This window comes from Homo sapiens, chromosome 15 (assembly GCF_000001405.40).
Source record: "Homo sapiens chromosome 15, GRCh38.p14 Primary Assembly".
NCBI classification, from domain to species: domain Eukaryota; kingdom Metazoa; phylum Chordata; class Mammalia; order Primates; family Hominidae; genus Homo; species Homo sapiens.
The window spans coordinates 101,489,344-101,510,676 of NC_000015.10; the positions used below are offsets into that span (position 1 = coordinate 101,489,344).

The following is a 21,333-nucleotide window of genomic DNA, read 5'->3' on the forward strand; positions in this document are numbered from 1 at the left end:
TTTTGGGCGCGCGGGGCCGGCCGCACTCACCTGGCCCAAGTTGAGGTACCCGTGCGCCGCCGCCACGCGGTCCGCCTCGGCCGGGCCGCCCAGCACTTGCACCGCCCAGTGGTTGGTGTAGACGGGGCGCGGCGGGGGCGCGGAGCAGGCGGCAGGCAGCGCCAGCAGCAGCAGCCAGCGCCAGGGACGCGGCGCGAGCGGCCGGAACCCGGGCCCGCCGGCGCCCCCCGCGCCCCCCGCGCCCCCCGCGCCCGCGGCGGTGTCGGTGGCGGCGGCGGCCCGGGGCGGCGGCCGGGGCCCGGGCGCAGGCGGCGCGCGCGGAGGCATAGCGGCGACAGGCTCGCGCGGCGCCCGAGCTGCGAGTGCGCCGGGGGGTGGAGTGCCGCCTTTTAAAGCCGCTCCGCGCCGGGGAAGCGCCGCCGCCGCCGCCACCGCCGCCGCCAACACCGCCGCGGGCGGGAGCCGGGGAGGAGGAGGCGGCCGCGGCGCGTTCCCGCCCCCGGGCCCGCGCTCCTGCGACCGGGCTCCGGGGCCGAGAGCCGTCCGGGAGGCCCGAAACGCCCCCCACCGGGGGAACTTCCCCGCCGACTTCTGGGGCTCTCGGGACGCGGTGCCGCCCCAGAGGCGTCCTCGGCCCGCGAGTTCTGCTGGGAGCGGGGAGGCCCCGGCGTCTCAGGTGAGTCCCCGGTTCCCTAGACCGGCCGGACACCCGAAGGCCGCACTCACCTGGCGGGGGCCTCAGACGCCTGGCGGCCTCGCCCGCCTCCCTAGACGGAGGGCTCGCCCGTGTGCGGGGTCCCAGGGAGAAGAAGCTGCGGGGAAGACAGTGGGTCGCCCGGGACCAAGCCTGGCTGAAGGGACACATTGAGCGGGGCAAAGGCATGTGGCGCATCAGCCGGGCTCACGAGCGTGTACCCGAGAAACCACCGCACGGAGCCCATGGCGGAGGCCGCGGCCCATGCTGGGAGGCAGGCCGTGCAGGTGAACCCCCAGGCCGCGCAGGTGAACCCCCAGGCCGCGCAGGTGAACCCCCAGGCCGTGCAGGTGAACCCCCAGGCCGCGCAGGTGAACCCCCAGGCCGTGCAGGTGAACCCCCAGGCCGTCCGCTTAGCCTCGCTGCGATCTTGGGCAAATGACTGTGGTGGCTGAGGGCAGGCGCCCCACCTGCAAAATGCGGGGAACAGTGGCATCTACCCCGTCGGGCTGATTTGAGGATGAGGTCAGCTTTTGCTGTACAATAAGCTGTCCGTAAACGTTCGTTTTTATGAGCCCAGGGCCTGCCGTGTGGTAGGTGTTCACTAGACGATGTACACTCTTAAAAGCACCCACTGAGCTGGGACCAGCAGTAGAAAGTCAGCTGAATCATCCTCACCCCTGCTTCCTGGAGCAGCCTGGTATCCAGTGGATAATGATTTGAAGCACCCTGGAGATGGATGGAAATGTTCACACCATAATCAAGGAATTATGAAGGGTAAGGATCGCTGCTGGATCTCTTCTGTCATCCCTCCCAGGACCCATTGGTCCTACTGGCCCACTTCCAGAAAGCAAGCCATCAACCTGCTTAATATAGGAAGTAAAACAAAAAGGTCGAGAAGGCCTTGAGGTGGGAAGGAAGCTGCTTCTCTGATGGTCAGTTCCAGGAGCGGTCTCTTGTTGAGCGTGCAGGATTCACTTGGAGTCTGTGGCTTGGCAGCTGGAGGTGAGAGGCTGGGGCGAGAGGGGATGGGCTGAGGACAGGATCTGCATAGATGGTTTCCGAGGTCCTTTCCAGCCTCGCTCTCAGGAGCCCTTTGGTTTTGTAACCCACGTGATTCATCATTTCTTCAGGTGTGAGTCACCCCTAATGGAGGTGGGAGAACAGGAGGCGTGGTGGGAGGCCCCATCCCAACAGGCCACATCCATGTTCACAAGGGCTCCTGCCAAGGGCCCATCTTGGAACCTGGAGATCAACGTCCCACATGGCCTTCGCTTTGCTACACTAGATGTAACTTCACCTCCCTGCGTTCCCCTGGCAAGTGGGGTCAGCTGCTTGGGCCGTCACTCCAGGCCTGCCCACACTGCAGAAGACAGCCACCGTGTGTCCCTCCTACAGATGGACTGGATGCTCACCAGCCCCTGCCAGTGGAGAGACATGAGGCCCTCATGCAAACTGGCAGCCCTAGAGGAGAACCGGCCATACTTGTTGGACAGAAACAGTACCCAGAACTCTCAGTCTGCCTCTGCCTGACATGGCCCTGGCTGCCTAGCCAACTGGCTTGCAGAAGAGGGACATTGGCCTGAGTCAAGGGGACGGGGTTGGAGGCATTGCATTGTCACCTAGCAGCAGTATGTCTGGGCAGCATGTGTTACCTCTCTTCCCCTTCCCCTGCTGGCCGGATGTCCCTCAGATTCATCCTGGATCTGGTGCCGTTCTTCAAATATGTGGCCTGCTTCAAGATAATGTAACTGCACATCAGCTAAATGATTATAAAGCAGCTGGTGCCTCCCAAGACGGAGCCCCCGCAACGGCAGTGATTTTGACAGGCAGAGATAAGGGTGTTTCCATAATAATGTGGTAGATTAAGGGATTCAGCCTGCTGTACTGAGGGGAGACTAAAATGCATCTGAATTTTTATTTGGAGAGATCTGAATGTATTTTACTAACAAGTCTGGTCCTTTTGGGCTGAACTTTCCATTTGTCATGGAAGTGCCCGGCAATATCTTGACTCCGATGTTGTAGGAAGACCAGCTTCCCAAAATGAACATCCTGAATCGAATCGCCTCCTGTGGGTTTCCTATTGATTCACACGGTGACGGGATTAGCTCAGTCACGGGAGTACCAGCCCTTTTCATTGTGATAGGATCTGTAATAAAACTTGGCTAGTCGTCCTGCAGGGAGGGGATTTATTACTCAGGCTCTGGCTCTCCACATGGCCCCCGAGGTCCACACAGCTCTGTGGGGAGGGAGGGGGTGCTGCTTTCCTAGATTGAGGTCTTCGAGCCTCAGGAGGGACAGGACATGGACCAGAAAGGTGATTGGAGCCTGGTCATATTTCGGAAGTTTTGTGATATTTATACTGACATCTTCTAAAATCAGAAAAGAGGAGAAGACATTGAATGATGTGTTCTCATGCCCACCACTGATCCCTTTACAGCAAGCATGGGATTATCCGGCCAGAGTCCGGGAATACCCACGCAGCCAAGACCACAGGACAGCAAGAGCCTTTGCACAGCCTTCTAGGATGTGATAAGACATACTTTGATGCAGAAATTGCCTCTGTGTAGGGAATAGACACTTTATTGAACAATTACATTTTTGGCAATATGCTAGGTTCAGCAGGCCAGACTAGCATCCCTTGAAAAATAGCTGATGGACACCACCTTCAGGATACCGGAGATGAGCGTGGACTCAAAGCCCAGCTTTGTCATTTACTCATGTGCAGCCTCAGTAAAGTTGCTTCAGTTTGCCCTACTGAAAATAATAGTAACGCTGCTGTCCCCATACAGAGGGGCTATGAGGATGACAGGAGCTGATGTGAGCAGAGCCTGGCACCCAGAGCCTGGCATGAAGTCAGCACTCCATAAATAGTGGCAACAGTGACCACTGCTGACCAGGCGCTCTCCAGTGGGATAGAGTAGTTAGGGCTGAATACTCTGACCTTCTCTGGATAAGGGCTCACTGTCCTCATCTATGCCTGGGTGCACATTTTCTCACATCTTAACATCCCCAAATCAAGAAACATCTCACAGTTGGTGTTTTGCAATCATCACTGGCCTGGACTGAAATTGAGTTCTTCCAGAGAGGGTTTGTTTTTGCTTCTGCCAGTGATCTGGGGACACAGCTCCTGAAACTCCTTGGGGATCTGCTGAATGGTGTGACCCCAGTGTGAGAACCAGCTTATGGTTCTAATGATCAGTGCAGGGCATCTCCCTATTTCTCCCTCCCCTCGCCAGGGCCAAGATAGAAACCTGATGATTCCTTGCTGTTCCTCTCCATGGTGGGTTTATTTCTCATTTTCCCCTGTACTGACAGTAGAGTCTTTATTTTCCCTCCCCTCCCCTCTCTCTCCTCTCCTCCTCCTCCTTCTCTCTCTTCCTTCCCTCCTTTCTTTCTCTTTCTTTCTTTCTCTTTCTCCTTTCCCTTCCCTTCCCTTCCCTTCTTTTCTCTTTCTTTTTCTTTTTCTTCTTCTTTCCTGAGATGGAGTTTCACTCTTGTCACCCAGGCTGGAGTGCAATGGTGCAATCTCGGCTCACTGCAACCTCTGGCGTCCGGGTTCAAGTGATTCTCTTGTCTCAACCTCCCGAGTAGCTGGGATTACAGGTGCAAGCCACCATGCCTGGCTAATTTTTGTATTTTTAGTAGAGATGGGGTTTCACCATGATAGCCAGGCTGGTCTCGAACTCCTGACCTCAGGTGATCCACCTGCCTCAGCCTCCCAAAGTGCTGAGATTACAGGCGTGAGCCACCAGGCCCAGCCAACAGTAGAGCCTTTCATTGTTCCATCTTTAGAGAGGCATCTCCTGTGAGCCTTTCATTGTTCCATCTTTAGAGAGGCATCTCCTGTGAGACTTTCCATCTTGGATGTTTTTTTTTTCTTAGTAATATGTTAAATAATGACACATCTTCCAATTGAGGGTGTATCTTAGATTTGATGACATATGATATTAATGCCTTCAAGACATATTGCAGTAAAGAAACTTGTTGAATTCTTCCAAATATATTTGCTGTGTCTGTGTATGTGTGAGTGTGGCATCTATTGATATCCTACAGAAAAGGTACAGAGAGTACAGCATTTTTCATGAAAATCTGTTGTGAATCCTCAGCAAGGTAAAGGCTTTTTCAAAGTAATTGCCTGGCTCAGTTGAATTTTCAAATACATTTCTATCGGGAGAATCCTCGGATACTTTGGGCCAGACAGCACTCAGAGGTGAGATACTGTTGGGACGTACAGTCATTCCTTAGACCTGACAGTGCTTCTTGAGCCCAGATAAACACCCAAGGTCCCCAGGAACAGGAGGTGTGATGCAGGTCGCACACAGCCAGTGGGCCTGAGACATGGAGAATCCGGGGCAGACTACACCTCTGCCTCCCACCAGCCCCTCCCACCGTCCCCAACAAACCTTTACCCAAGCCCAGGTTTCTACAAACCGGGGATTTCCCCAGCCAGGTCCTCTTCTCTCCCTTTCACGCTTTTCTTTTCTCTCCTTTTTACTCACTCCAAATCCCACTCACAGCTGCTGCCCATAGCAGTGGTGGGTCAGGGGCCTTTGCTCCCCTGCAGCTTCAGGCTCTGCGTCCTTCTGGGCTCTGCCTTCTGCTCGGTGTACACAGTTTTTCAGCGGTCTCTTCAGTATCTGCTCATTCATACTGAGCTCTACTCCCTGCTGGGGTGGGGGGACATGTGACTATCGGGGGTGGGGAGGGCATGGAGCAGCTCCCACTCTACTCTCCTCTCTGCTTAAACTCTCTTTATATCTAGATCCTAGTTTTCTTAAGAAAGAGCCCTTGAAAACTGCTTCTCCTGTGAAACGATTACCGTGGGTCTAGCAGTTATGTATCCCAGTGTTCCTTTCCTAAACTCCCATGTGGAAATTTAGTGTCAAACAGGGAATTTAGGGGCAAAAAAGCTGAAACTCCCTGAGAAGCTCTTCCTGACTAAGAATGAGAGCTTGGCAATTCATCTCGTTTCCCTTTTCACCTCAGCATCCAGGAGGCTCAGAGCCACATGTGATAGAAAAATTGTAGTTCTTTATTTCTTCTTTGTTGCAATAGGTAAGATGCCTTTGGTTACAAAATATGAGAGTGCCCAACTGAAATGAGTGCAGACAATAAGGACAATTCATTATTTTGCAAACAAGAAACTGGTATTAGTGGACCCAGGGTTGTTAATTCAGCAGCTCAGTGATGCTGGGACTCAAGGTAGCTTTTCTATACTTTACCTGCCTTTCTCCTATTCTTATATGACTGCCACAGATGGGAGGATCATATCCTCTCAAGACAGCCTCCAGGGAAGAAGCGCAGGAGCGACTTTCCATCTCTTGAATGTCTTCATCTCCCTGGGGAGGAAGCACCTAACCCTCCAGTCCACTTCCTCTCAGGCCCCACCTACCAGATCTGGGTCACAGGCCCACCCTCTGCTGCCAGGTAATCGTAGACAAGGTGAGCAGGGCGGCTCAGGTTGCTTTCGATCAGTCTTTGCTCTTCTCCTGGGGAACGCTCCCTGAGCACATTGCTGCCCCAGATTGAGCAAAACCAGGATGCTGTTAGCGAGGGGCGGCACTGTGGAGGCTGCTGGGCGAGTTCCTTGGGGGTCTACCTCTTGCTCTCTGTTTCTGTTGGATCACCTTCATATAGATTTTCTCAGGCACACAGCAGACTCCAAGCAAATATTTATCGAAAAGTGGAAAGGAAGGGAGGTAGGGAAGGAGGGAAAGGGGGGGAAGGGAAGGGAGGAGGGGAAGAACAAGAGGGAAGGGGAAGGAAGGCTCAAGTATTATTTAGAATTAATGTGTTCCACAAATTAAATACAACACAAATCAGCCTAAGCAGCGGTGACTCTGACTTTCCCCACCTTCCCTGTCCCCACGCCCGGCAGCGCAAGGATGGCGTTGCACTGTCCACAAGCCCAGCAGTGGGGTGTGCCTTTTTCCTGTGTGAAGACACCCCTTGGCTCCAGGGTGGGTTTCGGGTTTGTGGCCTAAGTGTTCTTCCCGAGTGAGAGTGAATTGGGAGCTGGGGCTCCCTCCCTAGTCCCGGCAAAGAGAGCAGAGCAGAAGACAGGATGGGAGTGGGGTCCTCGCGGCGACAAGCAGAGGAGAAGAGCTGGCAGGTTATCCCTCTCTACAAAAGTCTGGTTTTGAGAAGCTGAGCGCAGAAATACATCATGGGAAAATAGGCATTGCGGGGGACCTGCTGGGCTGTGGTGTACACGAAGTGGCCGGGCTGGGTGGGGCTGAGGAATTGCAGCTGAAGTCCTCGCCCTTTAGCTGCTCTCTTTCCTCAAGAGCACAGAAGGCACAAACACCATTGCTTCTGCACCCCCTGCCCTGTCCCTCTCCAAAGCTGCCCCTCCCTTGGTGCCCTGGTCCCCAGGGAATCCTGCCCTCTGCAGGGTCATGCTCTGGCAGTTCCCCAAACTCCTAACCCTCTAATCTTTTCCTGTCCCCAGATCCTTCCCCTTAGTTGCACGTGTGCCAGAGCTCCCCCACCCGGCTCTGAGAAGGCTTCTTACGCCTTCCTGCCCCTGCCGCCCCTTCACATCACCTCTGACCTCCTGCCTTCACTTCCCCGGGGTTCCAGGAAAGGTCACATGACGCCGCTCTTCACTCTCGGGCCTCTCCATGCCGTCCTCTCCCTCTCCCTCCACTCGGCTGGATGCAGGTGGAGAAGAAACACAGCCACCCCGGCTGCTGTCGCCTGGCAGCCATCATTACACACCTCTGGCAGTCTCTCGAAACGCCCACCCCTCCTGTCCAACTGGCGTCCTCCATACTCACCCTCAGCTGACAGCCTTGCTTCCTTCTTACCTCCTTTCTCGGAAGAGATCTTCCTCCTCCACCCACACCTGCGCCGGGCTCTGCCTCACAGCACTGCCGCAGGTGGTGGGGCCCACTGAGGACCTCCCCTCCCTCACCTGCTGGATCCCAAGCTACCCCAGCTCCCCAGAGCCGCCGCTTCACAGTATCACCCTTTCTCCTGCTGAGTTACCTCCATGCACGTACAAGCATGTGGTTATACCATCTATCTTTAAAAACCCACAGGACTCTCGCCAGCTACTCTCCCATTCTTCCCGTTTTAGCAACACAAAACTCCTCAAGCAAGTCTCCCCACCCACTATTTCAGTCTCTCCTGCACTCAAGCCCACCCACGCTGTCATCACCATCCCCCGCAGCCTGTCCGCTGCTAACTCCAGGGGGCCGTTCTCTGACCTCCTGTTGGAGGCCTTCCTGCACCTTTGACACGGCTGACACCCCTTGTCCTGGAAGCACATTCCGCTTGTGGCTGCCAAGCGGCCCCTGCTATCCTAGTTCTCCTCTCACCTGTGTGGCCGCCTCTCCTCAGTCTCCATCGCTGGTTCATTCTTAGCATCGGGGTGCCCCGAGCCCCGACTCTTGGGTGGCTTCTTTTTTGTACCCACCCTCACTCCCGCGACGCTCTCAGTCATTCTCTAACTTTAGGTGCACGTTACGTGTGGGTGACTCTCGGAGCCCGTCGCTGGCTTGGACTCCTAAACTCCAGGCGGCCGGCAGCTTCTCTCCTTGGATGTCTAAAGCACTTTACAAGCTGAGCTCCTGGTCCTCCCCGTCCCCACCACAAAACGCCCCCGCCGCCCTGCCCTGTCCCCAGCTTTCTCCATTACGGCAAATGCCAACTCCACATTTCCACTGCTCAGGCTAAAGCCTGAGGTCATGGTTAACCCCTCCCTTCACCCCAGCACACCCGTGTCTAGACTGTCATTGAGTCTGGTTGTTTCTACTTTGAAATCCGTTCAGAGTCCGGCCACTTCTCACCACGCCCCCTGCTACGTCCCTGGGCCGAGCCACCCCCACCTGTCACCTGGTGAAACTCAACAGCCTTCTAAATGCCTTCCCTGTTCTGGCCATGCCTCCTGCCATCAATCCTCAACACAGAGGATGTGTGAAAATAGAAGTCAGATCAGGCCGTTCCTCAGCTCTAAATTCCTCCATGGCTTCCAACCTCACGCAGAGAAAAATCCAAGATTTTTCTCTACCCTCCCCCAAGCACACAGTGGAGGCTGTCAGATACGAGAAGAGCATTGAACGAGATGGTTAGGGCTTCCTGGAAGAAGTGACTTTTAACCTGAATTTGAAGATATAAACAGGAGATAGCCAGACGGGTGGACCATCAGTCAGGACTAAGCAAGAAAACAGAGATCACACTGAGGATTTGCAATGCAGGGAGTTGGTGACTCAGGGATGAAGGAGCACAGTTTCTCCCACCCCTGGGTGCAGGCCTCCCTCCCCCAGCTCCAGGCAGAGGGCCCACTTGAGATCAGCACGTGCAAAGGCCCTGGTGCAGGAGGAAGCCTGGTGTGGTGGAGGAGCTAGAGGGCAGGCAGGGCAGCAGGGGCATTGGCAGTGACAGGAGGGTAGTGGGAGAGGGGATGAGAGGCACGGCCAGAGGCCAGGCTGTGACAGCTTCATCAGCCTTGGCAAGAATTTGGACTCCATCCCAAGAAGGGTGGAAAGCGGAGGAGGGGCACTCCCACAGCTCCAACCCACCTGGCCTCCAAGGCCTTCTGACCTGCACCCGCAGCCCCACGCTGTCTTCAAGAGGCCGGGAACCTTGGGTCCCACATCTTCACCTCCTTACTCAATATCTCCACTCTCTGTGGCCTCTGAAATCCAGAGCAGCCTGTTCTAACCTCCTCACCCCCACCCGGACCAGACCCTGGCCTCAAGGGCATGCTGTGGCCTTCATGCCCTGACCCAGTGTGGGCTCGGCCTGACTCCCACCTCTCACCAGTTCCCTCACCCGTCCCCAGGCTTCCCACCCTAGCCGAGGGCCCTGTCGCACTGTCTGTGGTGTTCACTTCCCAGGTGGTCTCTCTAGCTCCAGCCGCTGCCCCTCATCACCCTCCCTGCCGTCTCCAGAGTCTTGGTTCCCAGGCACTCCCATGAGACGACTTAGACCATCAGTGAGTCTTCTCAGCCAGCAGGGTGGAGATCAAACTCAGGGGCACGGCCTTTAGCAAGCTGGCACTGTTTTTCTTGCTCTTCCTGTCCCACCATAGGGCCAGTTGCTGCTCCCAGACGGACTGGCCCTTCAGGCCCGGGCACCTTAGCTTCCACTATTTCTTCCTGACTGGATTCTTCTCGGTCTCCAGGCAGAATGGCTCTCCCTGGCTGTAGGACCTTATGTTTGGGGGCCCAACTGTGATTTGTGGCCTCACTGCCAGCCCTGTGTGTGACTCACGGTGAGGCCTCAGCAGCTGTTCCCTGCACCCCCATCTAAAACAGCTCCCTGCACCCCCATTTCTCACTGGCAAGATGAAGCCTCAGACCTGGCAATCTCGCTCCACCCCTATTTAAACAAGGCAGAACCTCTGATCTGGAATGTTCCCACTGCAGCCTCTCCCAGAGCCTTGGGAAGGAGTTGGCTAATACAATGCTGGGTGGCAGGGCTGTGCCAGCAGTGCAGTGATTTTTAAAATATGTGTTAGAGCCCTGGGTTTTTCCTATAAATGAGATGGTCGGCCATCATCCTAAATGTCACTCCCTCACTATTAGGCCACAGTGATGTTCCTAAAAGAGTCAACAGTAAAGACCTGTTTGTAGGTATCTAGGAGCCGGCAGCAGACCCTGGGGACACAGGACCAAACGTAGGGAGGTTTCAACTCTGGATCTCCATCGATTCTGAGCACCTCGGTGACCGGGGTGGGCTTCAGGCTTCCTGAGCTGGGGCTACAGGAGTGCAAAGGGGTTTTATGATGAGTCCATGTATTAAATGAAATAAGGGCCCACAGAAAAGAGAAGGCTGGGACCGCAGGTGTCCAAGAAGCAAGGCACAGAGGCAAGCAGGTTCCTTCCCACACGCAGCTGAGGTCCACTCAAAAGGTGATCCTGAAGAAATTATGCTAGAATCAGCAGAGTGGGCCTCGGCTGAGTGTGGAATCCAGCCCACTACTTGCTGGCTGTGTGACCCTGGACCAGGCACCTACCCTCCTATGCTTCCGTTTTCTCTGCTGCAGAAGAGGCTGCCAATGATGCCTTCCCTTAGGGAGTGAGCCAGGCCGTAATTCAAGGCTAGGCAGCACCTGGCAGCTGGCATGCTGGCAGCAGACCTCCTGACACACGTGCCCTTGGTTTGGCAGATGCTGGCAAGGGTTGTGGTGACAGCGGACACGTGAACCACGACAGCTGGAAGGGAACAGTGGAGGGGAGGGCACTATGCTGAGTCACATTTAGACCTCACTAAAACCGAAGTGGTTCCTGTTAACTTGCTTTGGTCTATGTGGTGGATTTAGGGCTTCCAAAAATCCTCTTAAGGCTTTTTATATCCTCCTCACTATTTATAGTCTAAACTCCCCCAAATCCCCAACCCAGACAAAATCATTCCTGCTATGTTTTCTTTCGATGCCAAGCTCACCAGCAGCAGAGAACATAGCTGCATGACATGGGGCCCGATAGGCTGCTCATGCCTGTGCCCCTCCCTCCAGGAGTGAGACTTGGGAAATCCTTTACCCTCTGCAGGTTCTGTGTTTATCCTTTGCAGGGTCACCTGCCACAATGTCCAACTCCTGCCACCCACAGGAACTCCAGCAATGCTACTGATTCCCACCATCCAATATTGTGATTTTTCAAAGGTTGAAAATTTGATAAGCAAACAACACATATGTGGCCCAAATAATTTTGCATCTGGGTCTTTTCATCTGGACTGAGGCCAATGCCCTTATTCTTCTTCCTTCTCCTTCGGAGCCCTTTCTCCCTCCATCCTGTAAAAGTAATCTTTCATTAGAAATCAGCAAAGTGGAACAGTATACTCCCTCCTGAGCATGTACCAGTCACAGGTCACAGGTGATCACCACTGTCAAGAAGAAAGTCTAATTCAGTCCTCACCTTTGATAGACGGGAAGTCTGGAACCTTCTTAGTCACGGCCTCTCAGGCAGAAGATAACAGAAGACTTGCCACAGTGCATGGCAGGGCCACAAGACAGCAGGAGGGGAAGTGACACTCAAGTCCTGTCTCCTGGAATAGGCAGGGGATGGTCCAAGTGAAGTGGGATTGCTCAGGCAGGAGGAGAAGAGGCAGAGGGGCACTGTGGCTAGGGAAGAGGCTCCAGCCCTGACCACCTGGGTTCTCATCCCAGCTCGGCCACCTCCCAGCTGCCTGACCTCAGATGAGTCCATTGACCTCTCTGGGCCTCAGTTTTCCCAGCTGAGCATAAAATGGGCATATTTGTGTCCACCTTAAATGAATTAGTGTACAGTGCCTGGACCTGGGCCTGGCACTCAGACAGCATTATGTGAGAGCTGTTCTCATCAGGCCAGAGGTTTAGCAATACCTCATTGCTACTTGTAAACATGCCTGGTTCTGGAAGTGTCTGTGTGGGTGTGTCTGAGTTAACACAGACATGCCCCAGGCTGGCCAACCCCACAGGCCGGACTTGTATCTCCCCCAGCAGAGACCCCCAGGCCAGCCTCTCCTCTCCCTCCACAGCCCAGACCTAGAAGGACTGCACAGCCTGGGGACCTCAGCTCCTTCCCCTACGTGCCTGGTGAAAGGAGGGAAACAGGCAGTGAAGAAAGAAGGAGCAGAGGAGGAGACAAAAACTCACCTCTCCTGAACCCTCTGTAAGGCTTTTGCATGCATTCGTGTCTGAGCTCCTAAAGTCCGTGTCCTGTTTTACAAACAAGAAAGCCCCGATCCTCCGAGGGAGCCAGGGCTTTGCCTGAGGTCTTGTCAGGTGAACAGTTAGGGTTCTGGAATGGGTGGCTGTGAAGGCACAAGGCAAAGGCAGAGGGAGGAGCCTGGGCAGCCACCCGGCCCCATCTCTTCCTGCCACGCCGTGAGGGCATCCTCAGATAAGGACCCAGGCACAAGAACCTTGACGGGAGGGGAGAAGGACACCCCGGCTGGCCCATCCCCACGGGTCGGTAGAAACAGGAGACAGGCCCGAGGACTCCCTGGTGACCAGGGACCATCTGTGGCATCCCCCTCCAGGACTGTGCCCCGGGGAGAACCGCTCACTGGGGATCAGCAGGCTGCACTGTTGCCCCCTGGAGGATGCAGAAGGAGAGAGACACGGTGCCCGGACTCGGCAGCCCCATGATCCCAAGCTGGGAACCCCCCGGGCAGGCTTCAGACTCCTTTACTGTCTGCCTGTCACCCCCAGGCCCCTCCTGCCAGGGGGAGCTCAAGGGAGTGAGTCCCCCTGGTGGCGGGGAAGCCCGTCCTTTGGGATGGAAAAGCCCGAGGCCGCCCCAGCTCCCTGGCCACCATCGTGCAAAGGCAGCAAGGCGGACAGTCAAAGGACGTGCATCCTGCAGGGGCTTGATCCTTTTGATGCCTACTGATGAGGGGCAAGTCACTGTCTATGAAGGGTCTACAATGTCCCCAAATTCTGCCCCTAATGTCGCTTTAGAAGTCAAGCCTATCCCTGCTAGTGGCATTTAGGAGCTGAATTATATCTTCTTTTAAAAAAGAAAAAAAAAGGCTTCTCTCCAGAGAAGTATTCAGATGCCCATGAGCTCTGCCATCCAATATGAATATTCCCTTAAAAATGAAAATTATGGCGCACTTAAAAAGGAGCATGTTATGTCAGCACCGGGGATAAGACAATTTATTACTGTCTACAAAAGGAAGGCTCTAATGCCGTGGTAGAGGCTGGCTCAGCGGGCTGTAAATTATGAGCCATTCTCTGGCTGGTGGAAATAAATCCTCTTGTCACTCACTGTGCTCTCCCCTTGACAGGCCAGCAGGCCGCCGGGAGCAGGCAGAGTCAGGAATTCCATGTCCGTGACCTGAGAGCCGCACCACTCCACCTCCTGGGCCTCACTCCGCCCTATACACGCGCACACTTAATGACATCTCTGATCATGTCTTCAGGACGCATACCCTCTTTGACTTGAAAAAGTAACAACTGTTTGTGGCCTTCTCACAGGCCGAAAAGAACAAGCGGGGTCCAGTGGAGAAAGGTGAGGCATGGGAAGGCCTGGCCCGAGCACTGTGACTTCAGCGAGGCACCCTCCACCCCTCTCAGCTTTCCTGGTCTGAAAGTAGAATTTCGCCAGAGGGTGAGCCGACAGGTAGAGCTGTTTCCACCTGCGTGTGCTGCCTGTGAGCTGGGGAACTGCCCACACTGGGAGGGGTTGGGAAGCGTAGGAGGGCACCTGTCGCAGACGTTGAGGAGGGGCTGCCTTTCCCCTCCAGGGGCTGACCTCCCAGGTGATTCCCAGAGCCAGACCACAATTCCAGAATTCAGTGAAAACAGCGCCAAATCCTATTCCCTCCCGATCCCACCCTGATCCCTGCCTCTGGTAAACCGGTAAGTCTTGTTTTCCCCACCACCACCTCCCACTCACCACCTTCCTAAAGCGATCTGTGCCATCAGCCCCTACTGTGAGTACAGCCCTCTAAGCCACTCAGAGGGACTTCCTTTGGAAGCTCACTGTCGGAGACATCCTGCATGCATCCAGGTAGAGACATCATGAACAAAGAATACGGGCCGGGCACGGTGGCTCATGCCTGTAATCACAGCACTTTGGGAGGCTGAGACGGGCAGATCATGAGGTCAGGAGATCGAGACCATCCTGGCTAACACAGTGAAACCCCGTCTCTACTAAAAATACAAAAAAATTAGTCGGGCGTGGTGGCGGGCGCCTGTAGTCCCAGCTACTCGGGAGGCTGAGGCAGGAGAATGGCGTGAACCTGGGAGGCGGAGTTCCCAGTGAGACTCACCCAGTTCTCAGTGAGCTGAGATCGCGCCACTGCACTCCAGCCTGGGTGACAGAGCAAGACTCCGTCTCAAAAAAAAAAAAAAAAGTATGTATACTTGCTAGGCAGTAAGTATGATTAAATGTGTCTGCTGTGTAAGAACTTGGGATTAAATGTTTCCAAAGAATGGTTGAGGAATCAGCTGGTATGATTGCCAAATAAATACTAGATGCCCAGTTAAATTTGAATTTCAGATAAACAATGAAAACACTTTTGGTTTAAGCGTACCTCACACAAAAGTTGGGATACACTTGCACTCATAAAATTATTTTTTATTTATCTGAAATTCAAATTTACCTGAGTGTCTGTCCTGTATTATTATTTGCTAAATCTGGCAACTCTGGGTGGGCAGGAGGGTCAAATGCTCAAGCTGGGACTGGCTAGGGAAATGCATCCTTAATATTTTAAAAAGAAGTGGCAGGCACAGGTTTTGGTTGAAAAAATACAGAACATTTTCTCTTGGGGCCTGGAATCATGGCAACTTAAACCATTAAAAGTATCCTACTGATCTCAAATACAGCCCATTAGGCCTCCAGGAAGATTAAAACAACAAAATAAATAAAAGTGACAAAAGAGACAGAGGGGAGAGAGATCAAGAACTAAATGGAACATCTGATATTCATGGAAGCTGTGATAGTTCCGAAACTGCACATTCGAGAAGTTTTGCCAGCTGGTATTTCAGGAAGGGTTTGGGGGAATGGGGGAAGAGCCCTTCTGCTGGCCCATCTCTCTTCTCGTCCCAGCCTCAATCCGCTCCAAGACAGGAAGAGCAAAGGCGAGAAGGAGCCACGCCCCAGGACCGATGAGGGCTAGCAGGAATATCACATCACCCACACCATTAGTTAGGTATGCCTGGTCTTCCCCGCTCAGCTTTCTTCCCTCCTCCCGTGGTCAACCCCAGACACCTCAGCAAAATGGACAGCCATCCAAGCCAGAGGCACCCCCTCCAAGCAATTCTCATTCATTCTACTTCATCATTTTCTTTAGCATCTTATTTGTCCTTGAATTTTCTATTTTACCTTTCCTCCACTTTCTAGTTATTTTCCCCCTCCCCCAAAAATGTTTTCTGGTGGTCAGTAAGACACTTGCTCTCTCTGGAAGAACAGTGAAATCCCTGATGAGACCCAGTGTGAATTCACAGTGTCGTCATGTCTGTCCTGTGAGATTAGGCACCCATGAACCTTCCCAGCTTTGTGTGGATCGAGCAGGTAAGAACAGAACAACCATTTGCTGCTCCCAGTGCCCACGGTGAGATACACTTCAGAGGTGACAAATGGATCGTGCGGCAGCTCAGACCCCAGGCGGGAGGCCACGGGGACACCCACCACTCTTGGCACCGAGGGCTCCGCACGGTGGAGAAGATGTCGACAACCCTGTCTTCTAGGTTCAAACATCATGTCATGGAGGTAAAGGGAGAAGGCGTGAGGTTAAGGGCCTGCGAATCTGGCTTATCCAAGAACCTATTAACTGTAGTTCAATATTTACCAGCCCTTCTGAAGACATGTAGAAGAATGACAATGTTCAGACTATCAGTGTCAAGATTGTAAGGAGTCTGCCTGAGTCATGGGTTAAATGGTGCCCATGAATATTTTATTGAACTGTTTCCTAATTGTTTACAAGCTGGACATTTTTGTCAGCCATACACAGCAGTGTTGTGTGCTACCCAGAAGTTCTGACTCATCAACACTTTGTCGGGTTAGCAGAGAGCAGGCTGCACTTGCCATCTCGAACCCAGAGTTCTTTCTGTGCTGTATTATTTTGAGATTTGGTCCAGAGAAAAATGATGGATCAAGGCAGAAAAGCAGGTAACGGGCTGTCCCCAGATGCGCACATTAAAAGGCAAAGAGCTATCGAAATGTCACAAACTTTCGTTACAGCCCATCATTGGAGAGCTTTTCCAGCCGAGAGCATCCACCTTGACATCCTCCCCTCCCCAGCTCCATCAGGCACGAAGAGGCTCCTGCTGACAGACATTAGGGACACGAAGCAAACTGACACAGTGGATTAATCCTGGTGTCTGGGGAGCAGTTAGGACGTGTCATGTCAATAGGTGTCTGGGCACCTTTTAGACCAGGCCTTAATGGCCCAGCCTGGCCCTAATCGTCCCTCACATGCCACGGTTCTGCTCTTTCATCTTTGCTGTGTGTGTCCCATGAAGTCTCATTTTAAACAAGGCAGCAAGGCACAGTGACCACCGCAGAAATCCACTTCCCTCGAGGCCTTGCCACAGATGCCAGCAGCGCCACCAGCCCCCATCCCCAAAGGAAAACACAACCAAACAGTCATTAAAACGAAGAAAACCACGACCATGGTAAATTTGTCAGTGTTGGCGGAGAAGATAATGATACTGAAAATAGCCTGAAACTCTTTGTCAGATGGCTTGCATTTTTGGTCACAGGAGAACGTTTTCTATGTGACACGTGTAAGTGACCTGTGGGACCTTGTCATCAGTGAGGTCAGAGCACTCACTGATGCTGAAATTTGGGGGGTTCCCCAGGCTGCCCTCATCGTTCTTGCAACATGGCTGCCAGGGTAGTCGGTGTGAAGGATGGGGTAGGCTCACCCTGGATGTGAAGGATGGGGTAGGCTCACTCGGAGTGTGAAGGATGGGGTAGGCTCACCCTGGGTGTGAAGGCATGGGGTAGGCTCACCCTGGGTGTGAAGGATGGGGTAGGCTCACCCTGGATGTGAAGGATGGGGTAGGCTCACCCTGGGTGTGAAGGATGGGGTAGGCTCACCCTGGGTGTGAAGGCGTGGGGTAGGCTCACCCTGGGTGTGAAGGATGGGGTAGGCTCACCCTGGGTGTTTGCACCTGCGTCCTTGCTGCTTCCAGGTCCCTGGGACATGGCCTGTGGTCTGCACTGCTTGGGTGGTCCGTGGAACGTTTTGCTCACAATGTTCATAAGAAGTAATACAAAATAGTATCCTTCTCCCGCAAGGGTAGGGCCGGGAGAACTGGGAGAACAAGAGGCTATTGGCACCTGCCAGGTGGAAAGCAGGTGGACAACTCAACAGAGGGTCTGTCTGTTGGCACCCAGCGGTGTCGAACTGGTTATGTAAAAGAGAAAGAAAAAGGATACTAAGTCTCTTGAATGAAACTGGGCCCCATCACACGACTCTCTCATAAGCCCAGCACAGCTCACCAGGGCCTCTCTTGACCAGAGGCTTCTGCAGAATTCCATCAGAATGGAGGCTCACACCTGCCAGTTGGCTCTATGGCTAAAGGTCATAATAATAGAACATCTCTTATACCTGATATTTTTTAGATCTTCTGAATCACATTTTACAAAAACAACTTAGCAATTTTGATTCAAAATTCAGATGCTTTATTTTTCTTGTAATTTTCCTGCACACACACACACATACACAGCCATCAAACTAATACTTCACACACACACACGCACACTGCCATCACACTAATACAACACACACACACACACGCACACTGCCATCAAACTAATACTTCATATCCACTGTAAGCTTATCTTTAATTTTGGGGCTGAATTTTGGGGCTGGAAGTACTAATGAGGAAGGGACTGTTCCCACCCTCTGGCAAGGCCACCATTCTGGAACCTGATGACAAATGCATGACAGATGCTGAATATCCTCCTGTCTTGATTGCCTAAAGACTTGCTTTTCACTATCAGCATGTTTTCATATCTGGTTTTCAGAACATAAATGTATTCACAATTCAACATTTTAGTTTATTCATTTAAAGCATTAAAAATGTTTCTCAGAGTATGCATGGTCGAGAAGGGCATATTATTAAAGCAAAAATCATCCACTCCATTCCCTTGTCCTACCCATAGTCCCAGAGACCACCACCTTTCAGCGTTTCTGCATTTTGTGTTCCTAGTGGCTAGCATCCTCAGTCTACATGGCATCCTGACATCTCTATGTCTATATTCAACTCAGGCTCTGTTGACGCCTTGCCATGAAACACAAGGCTTTAGCTGACTTACACTACATCTTCCCCTAAATTTTCACAGTTACATTGTTATTTTTAGTTTTCTGTTGTTTGCCTTTCCAACTTGCAATCTCTTATCTATCACTTCTTGTTCTATTGTTTTCAGATAATAGATCAGTTTCTCTTAGCCATACCTTAACTTTTATACTGTCAGAGTTGATCATTTTATATACTGTCTTATAAACATAAGGTTTTCATGTTTTGTCCACCAGTTGATTCTAAAAATATATTAAAAAAATAAACACTGTGTACATAATTATGACTTTGTAAATATTGTTCCTTCAAAGTCAATCAGTATGTTAGGATTTTATTTATTTTTCTCTAGGTCCAGTATCATTAACCATAAGTGACATGAAAGGTTAATTATTAAATTCATGTCACATCTTTATTTCCTTTATATTTAGACACAGACATAAATCTCCTAAATAGCTTTTTGTTTTTCTTGGGATTTTAAGTTGCACTACTTGTGTTTTTGTCAGATCCTCAGAATTACCAAACCTCTTAATCATACTGTTTCTTGAAGCTTTTTGCTGGACTATATTTTGCAGTAATAGAAAGGAAAGGGTGCTTTGGAGGCAAATTCTCTGAGTACTTGTAAAACTAAAACTCCTGCTCACGTGCTTAACGATTTTCTACGTATGGAATTCTGGGTTTTAAATCATATTTCCCAGAATTTTTTTTCTTCTTAGTATTCAATGTTCCTGACAAGATGTCTGAGGTCAGTATTATTTTTGGTCTTTTGAGAATGACTTTTCTTGTTTCCTGGAAGCTTTTAGGAATTTCTCTTTATGTTCAACGTTCTAAAATATCTTGAGTCTGTGTCAGGGCATAAGTCTTTTGTTCTTTATTCTACTTGGAACTTGGAGCATCTTTTAGTCTAGAGATAATTATCTTTCTTCATTTCTGGAAAACTTTGTTCTATCATGTCTCTATTCTTTTAATTTTAATAAAGTGTACATTTATATAATTTAAAAAATTAAACAGTTCTATAAATCTGCAAGTGATATTAGCAGTTCTCCTCCCACTCTCTGGAAGCCATGACTTTCAATGCTTTTAGTTTTGTTGTATTTGCCTCCAAATTTCTAAATAGCAGGTTTAAATTCCTGTTTATTAATATTTTTAGTTTTAAATATAGTATGCTTACTTCAGGCAATGGACAATAAGGGTTTAGCTTTCTACTCTACTCCCACACCCTTAAATATATTTCTTTTCCATCCCATTCCTCTAATAGAGTGGCACAATTATAGGGCAAATCATATTTAGCATTTATTTTATTAGGCCCATGGAAATACGATTTGAGGCTGTAGCTATATGCATTCTAATTTCCTTTATTTTCTGATATGGTTTTCGTTTTCACTGGAGTCAACCTTTATCCCATTTGTTTGGTTTCACTATGTACCTATCACAAATCCATCTCCAAATTCCTCAACAGAAAAAAGTCTCCTTCCTGAGAAAAAAAAAAAAGCAGGAACAATTTTTAAAAGTTGAGACATTGCATTCTGAAAACGCCCAGTAGTCTTTATTCTAGCCCAAGAGCACGTTACTACTTTGGCTGAGGATATAGAATTCTAATTTGGAAATCATTTTCAATAAGAATGTTGAAGGCCTTGCTCTATTATTTAGTGTTCACCATTGCCGTAGAGATGCCTAACGCAGAACTAATTCTAGACCTTTGTATGCGACTTGTTCTTTCTTTCAAAGAGCATTAGTACCTTCTCTTTGTTCCCAATGTTTCGAAACTTCGTGTGAATGTGCTTTGTGTGGCTTTGTTTTCATTCATTGTGCTGAGCACTTGGTGAACCTCTCAGCCTAGAAATTGATGTCTTTGGGATCCAGGAACTTTTTCTTGAATTGTTTCTTTGGTGAATTGCTCCCTTCCATTTTTTTTCTCTGTGTTTGAAAGCCCTGTTATTTAAGATGTATTTCCTGTTTAGTCTAATTTTCTTGCTTTTTAGCTTATATTTTCCATTTCTTTGTTGTAATCATTTTTATTACTTGGAAATTTCCTCAAGTTTCTATGTTTCTACTAAATTTTTCTTTTCTGCTTTTGGATTTTAAAATTCCAAAATCATTTTTGTTTTCTAAATGTCCCTTTCTACAACAATACTCCCCTTTTCAGCCTCACTGATGTATACTAATATGTTACTCTCCACATTTAACTCCCCACAAAACTTTGCTAAGTTTTGACATATTATATATATGTATATTTATATATTCCCATAAAACCATCCCTATAATCAGTGTAAGCATATTCATCATCCCCCAAAGTTTTCTTATGTGTTTTCATAATCCCTCTCACATCTTCTTCCCCACCCCATCCCCCACCATCCTATCCTCAAATAACCACTGATTTGCTTTCTTTCATTGCAGATTAGTTTGCATTTTCTAGACTTTATATAAATGGAATCATATACTATGTACTCTTTATTATTTGACTTCTTTCACTGTGCCTAATAAGTTTGAAATTATCCATGCTCTACATATCAACATTTCATTCCTTTTTATTCCTACATGATATTTCACTGTATATTGTGTATACCACGATTTGTTTAATCCATTCACTTGTTGATTGGCATTTGAGTTGTTTCCAGTTTTAGACTATTACACATAAAGCTGCCATGAACATTTGTTCACAAGAGCTTGTGTGGACATATGTTTTCATTTCTCTTGGGTAAATACCAAGAGTACAACGGTTATAGCCTATGATAGGTGTGTGTTTGACTTTTTAAGAAATTGCCTATGTTAATTATCTAATGCTACATAAGCAATTATCCCCAAAACTCCCCAGCTTAAAATAACACACATGCATTATCTCAGAATTTCTGTGGTTCAGGAATCCAGGCATAGTTTAGCTTAGTACCGTTAAGGCATTAGGCAGCCCTGAGGTTTGATCTGAAGACTCAACTGAGCAGAGATCTACTTTCAAAGT

At 50.4% G+C, this 21,333-nt stretch overlaps 1 protein-coding gene and 1 long non-coding RNA gene across 9 annotated transcripts in view; one reads left to right on the forward strand and one right to left on the reverse strand.

Annotated features, from left to right (window-relative positions):
• The window catches only part of PCSK6 (proprotein convertase subtilisin/kexin type 6), a 185,775-nt gene extending 185,411 nt beyond the window's left edge, over positions 1-364 (reverse strand). For all 7 annotated transcript variants that reach the window (NM_001291309.2, NM_138319.4, NM_002570.5 and 4 more), the window contains exon 1: positions 31-364. In NM_001291309.2, the coding sequence (NP_001278238.1) occupies positions 31-327 (297 nt within the window). In that variant the 5' untranslated portion in view covers positions 328-364. The remainder of the gene's footprint in view (positions 1-30) is intronic.
• LOC107987228 (uncharacterized) lies at positions 424-4,696 on the forward strand. 2 transcript variants are annotated; one of them, XR_001751729.2, is made up of 2 exons: positions 424-1,002; positions 1,045-4,696. It is a non-coding gene; the product is annotated as an uncharacterized LOC107987228 (long non-coding RNA). The 2 variants fall into 2 exon arrangements; XR_001751730.2 differs by having other exon boundaries at positions 424-981.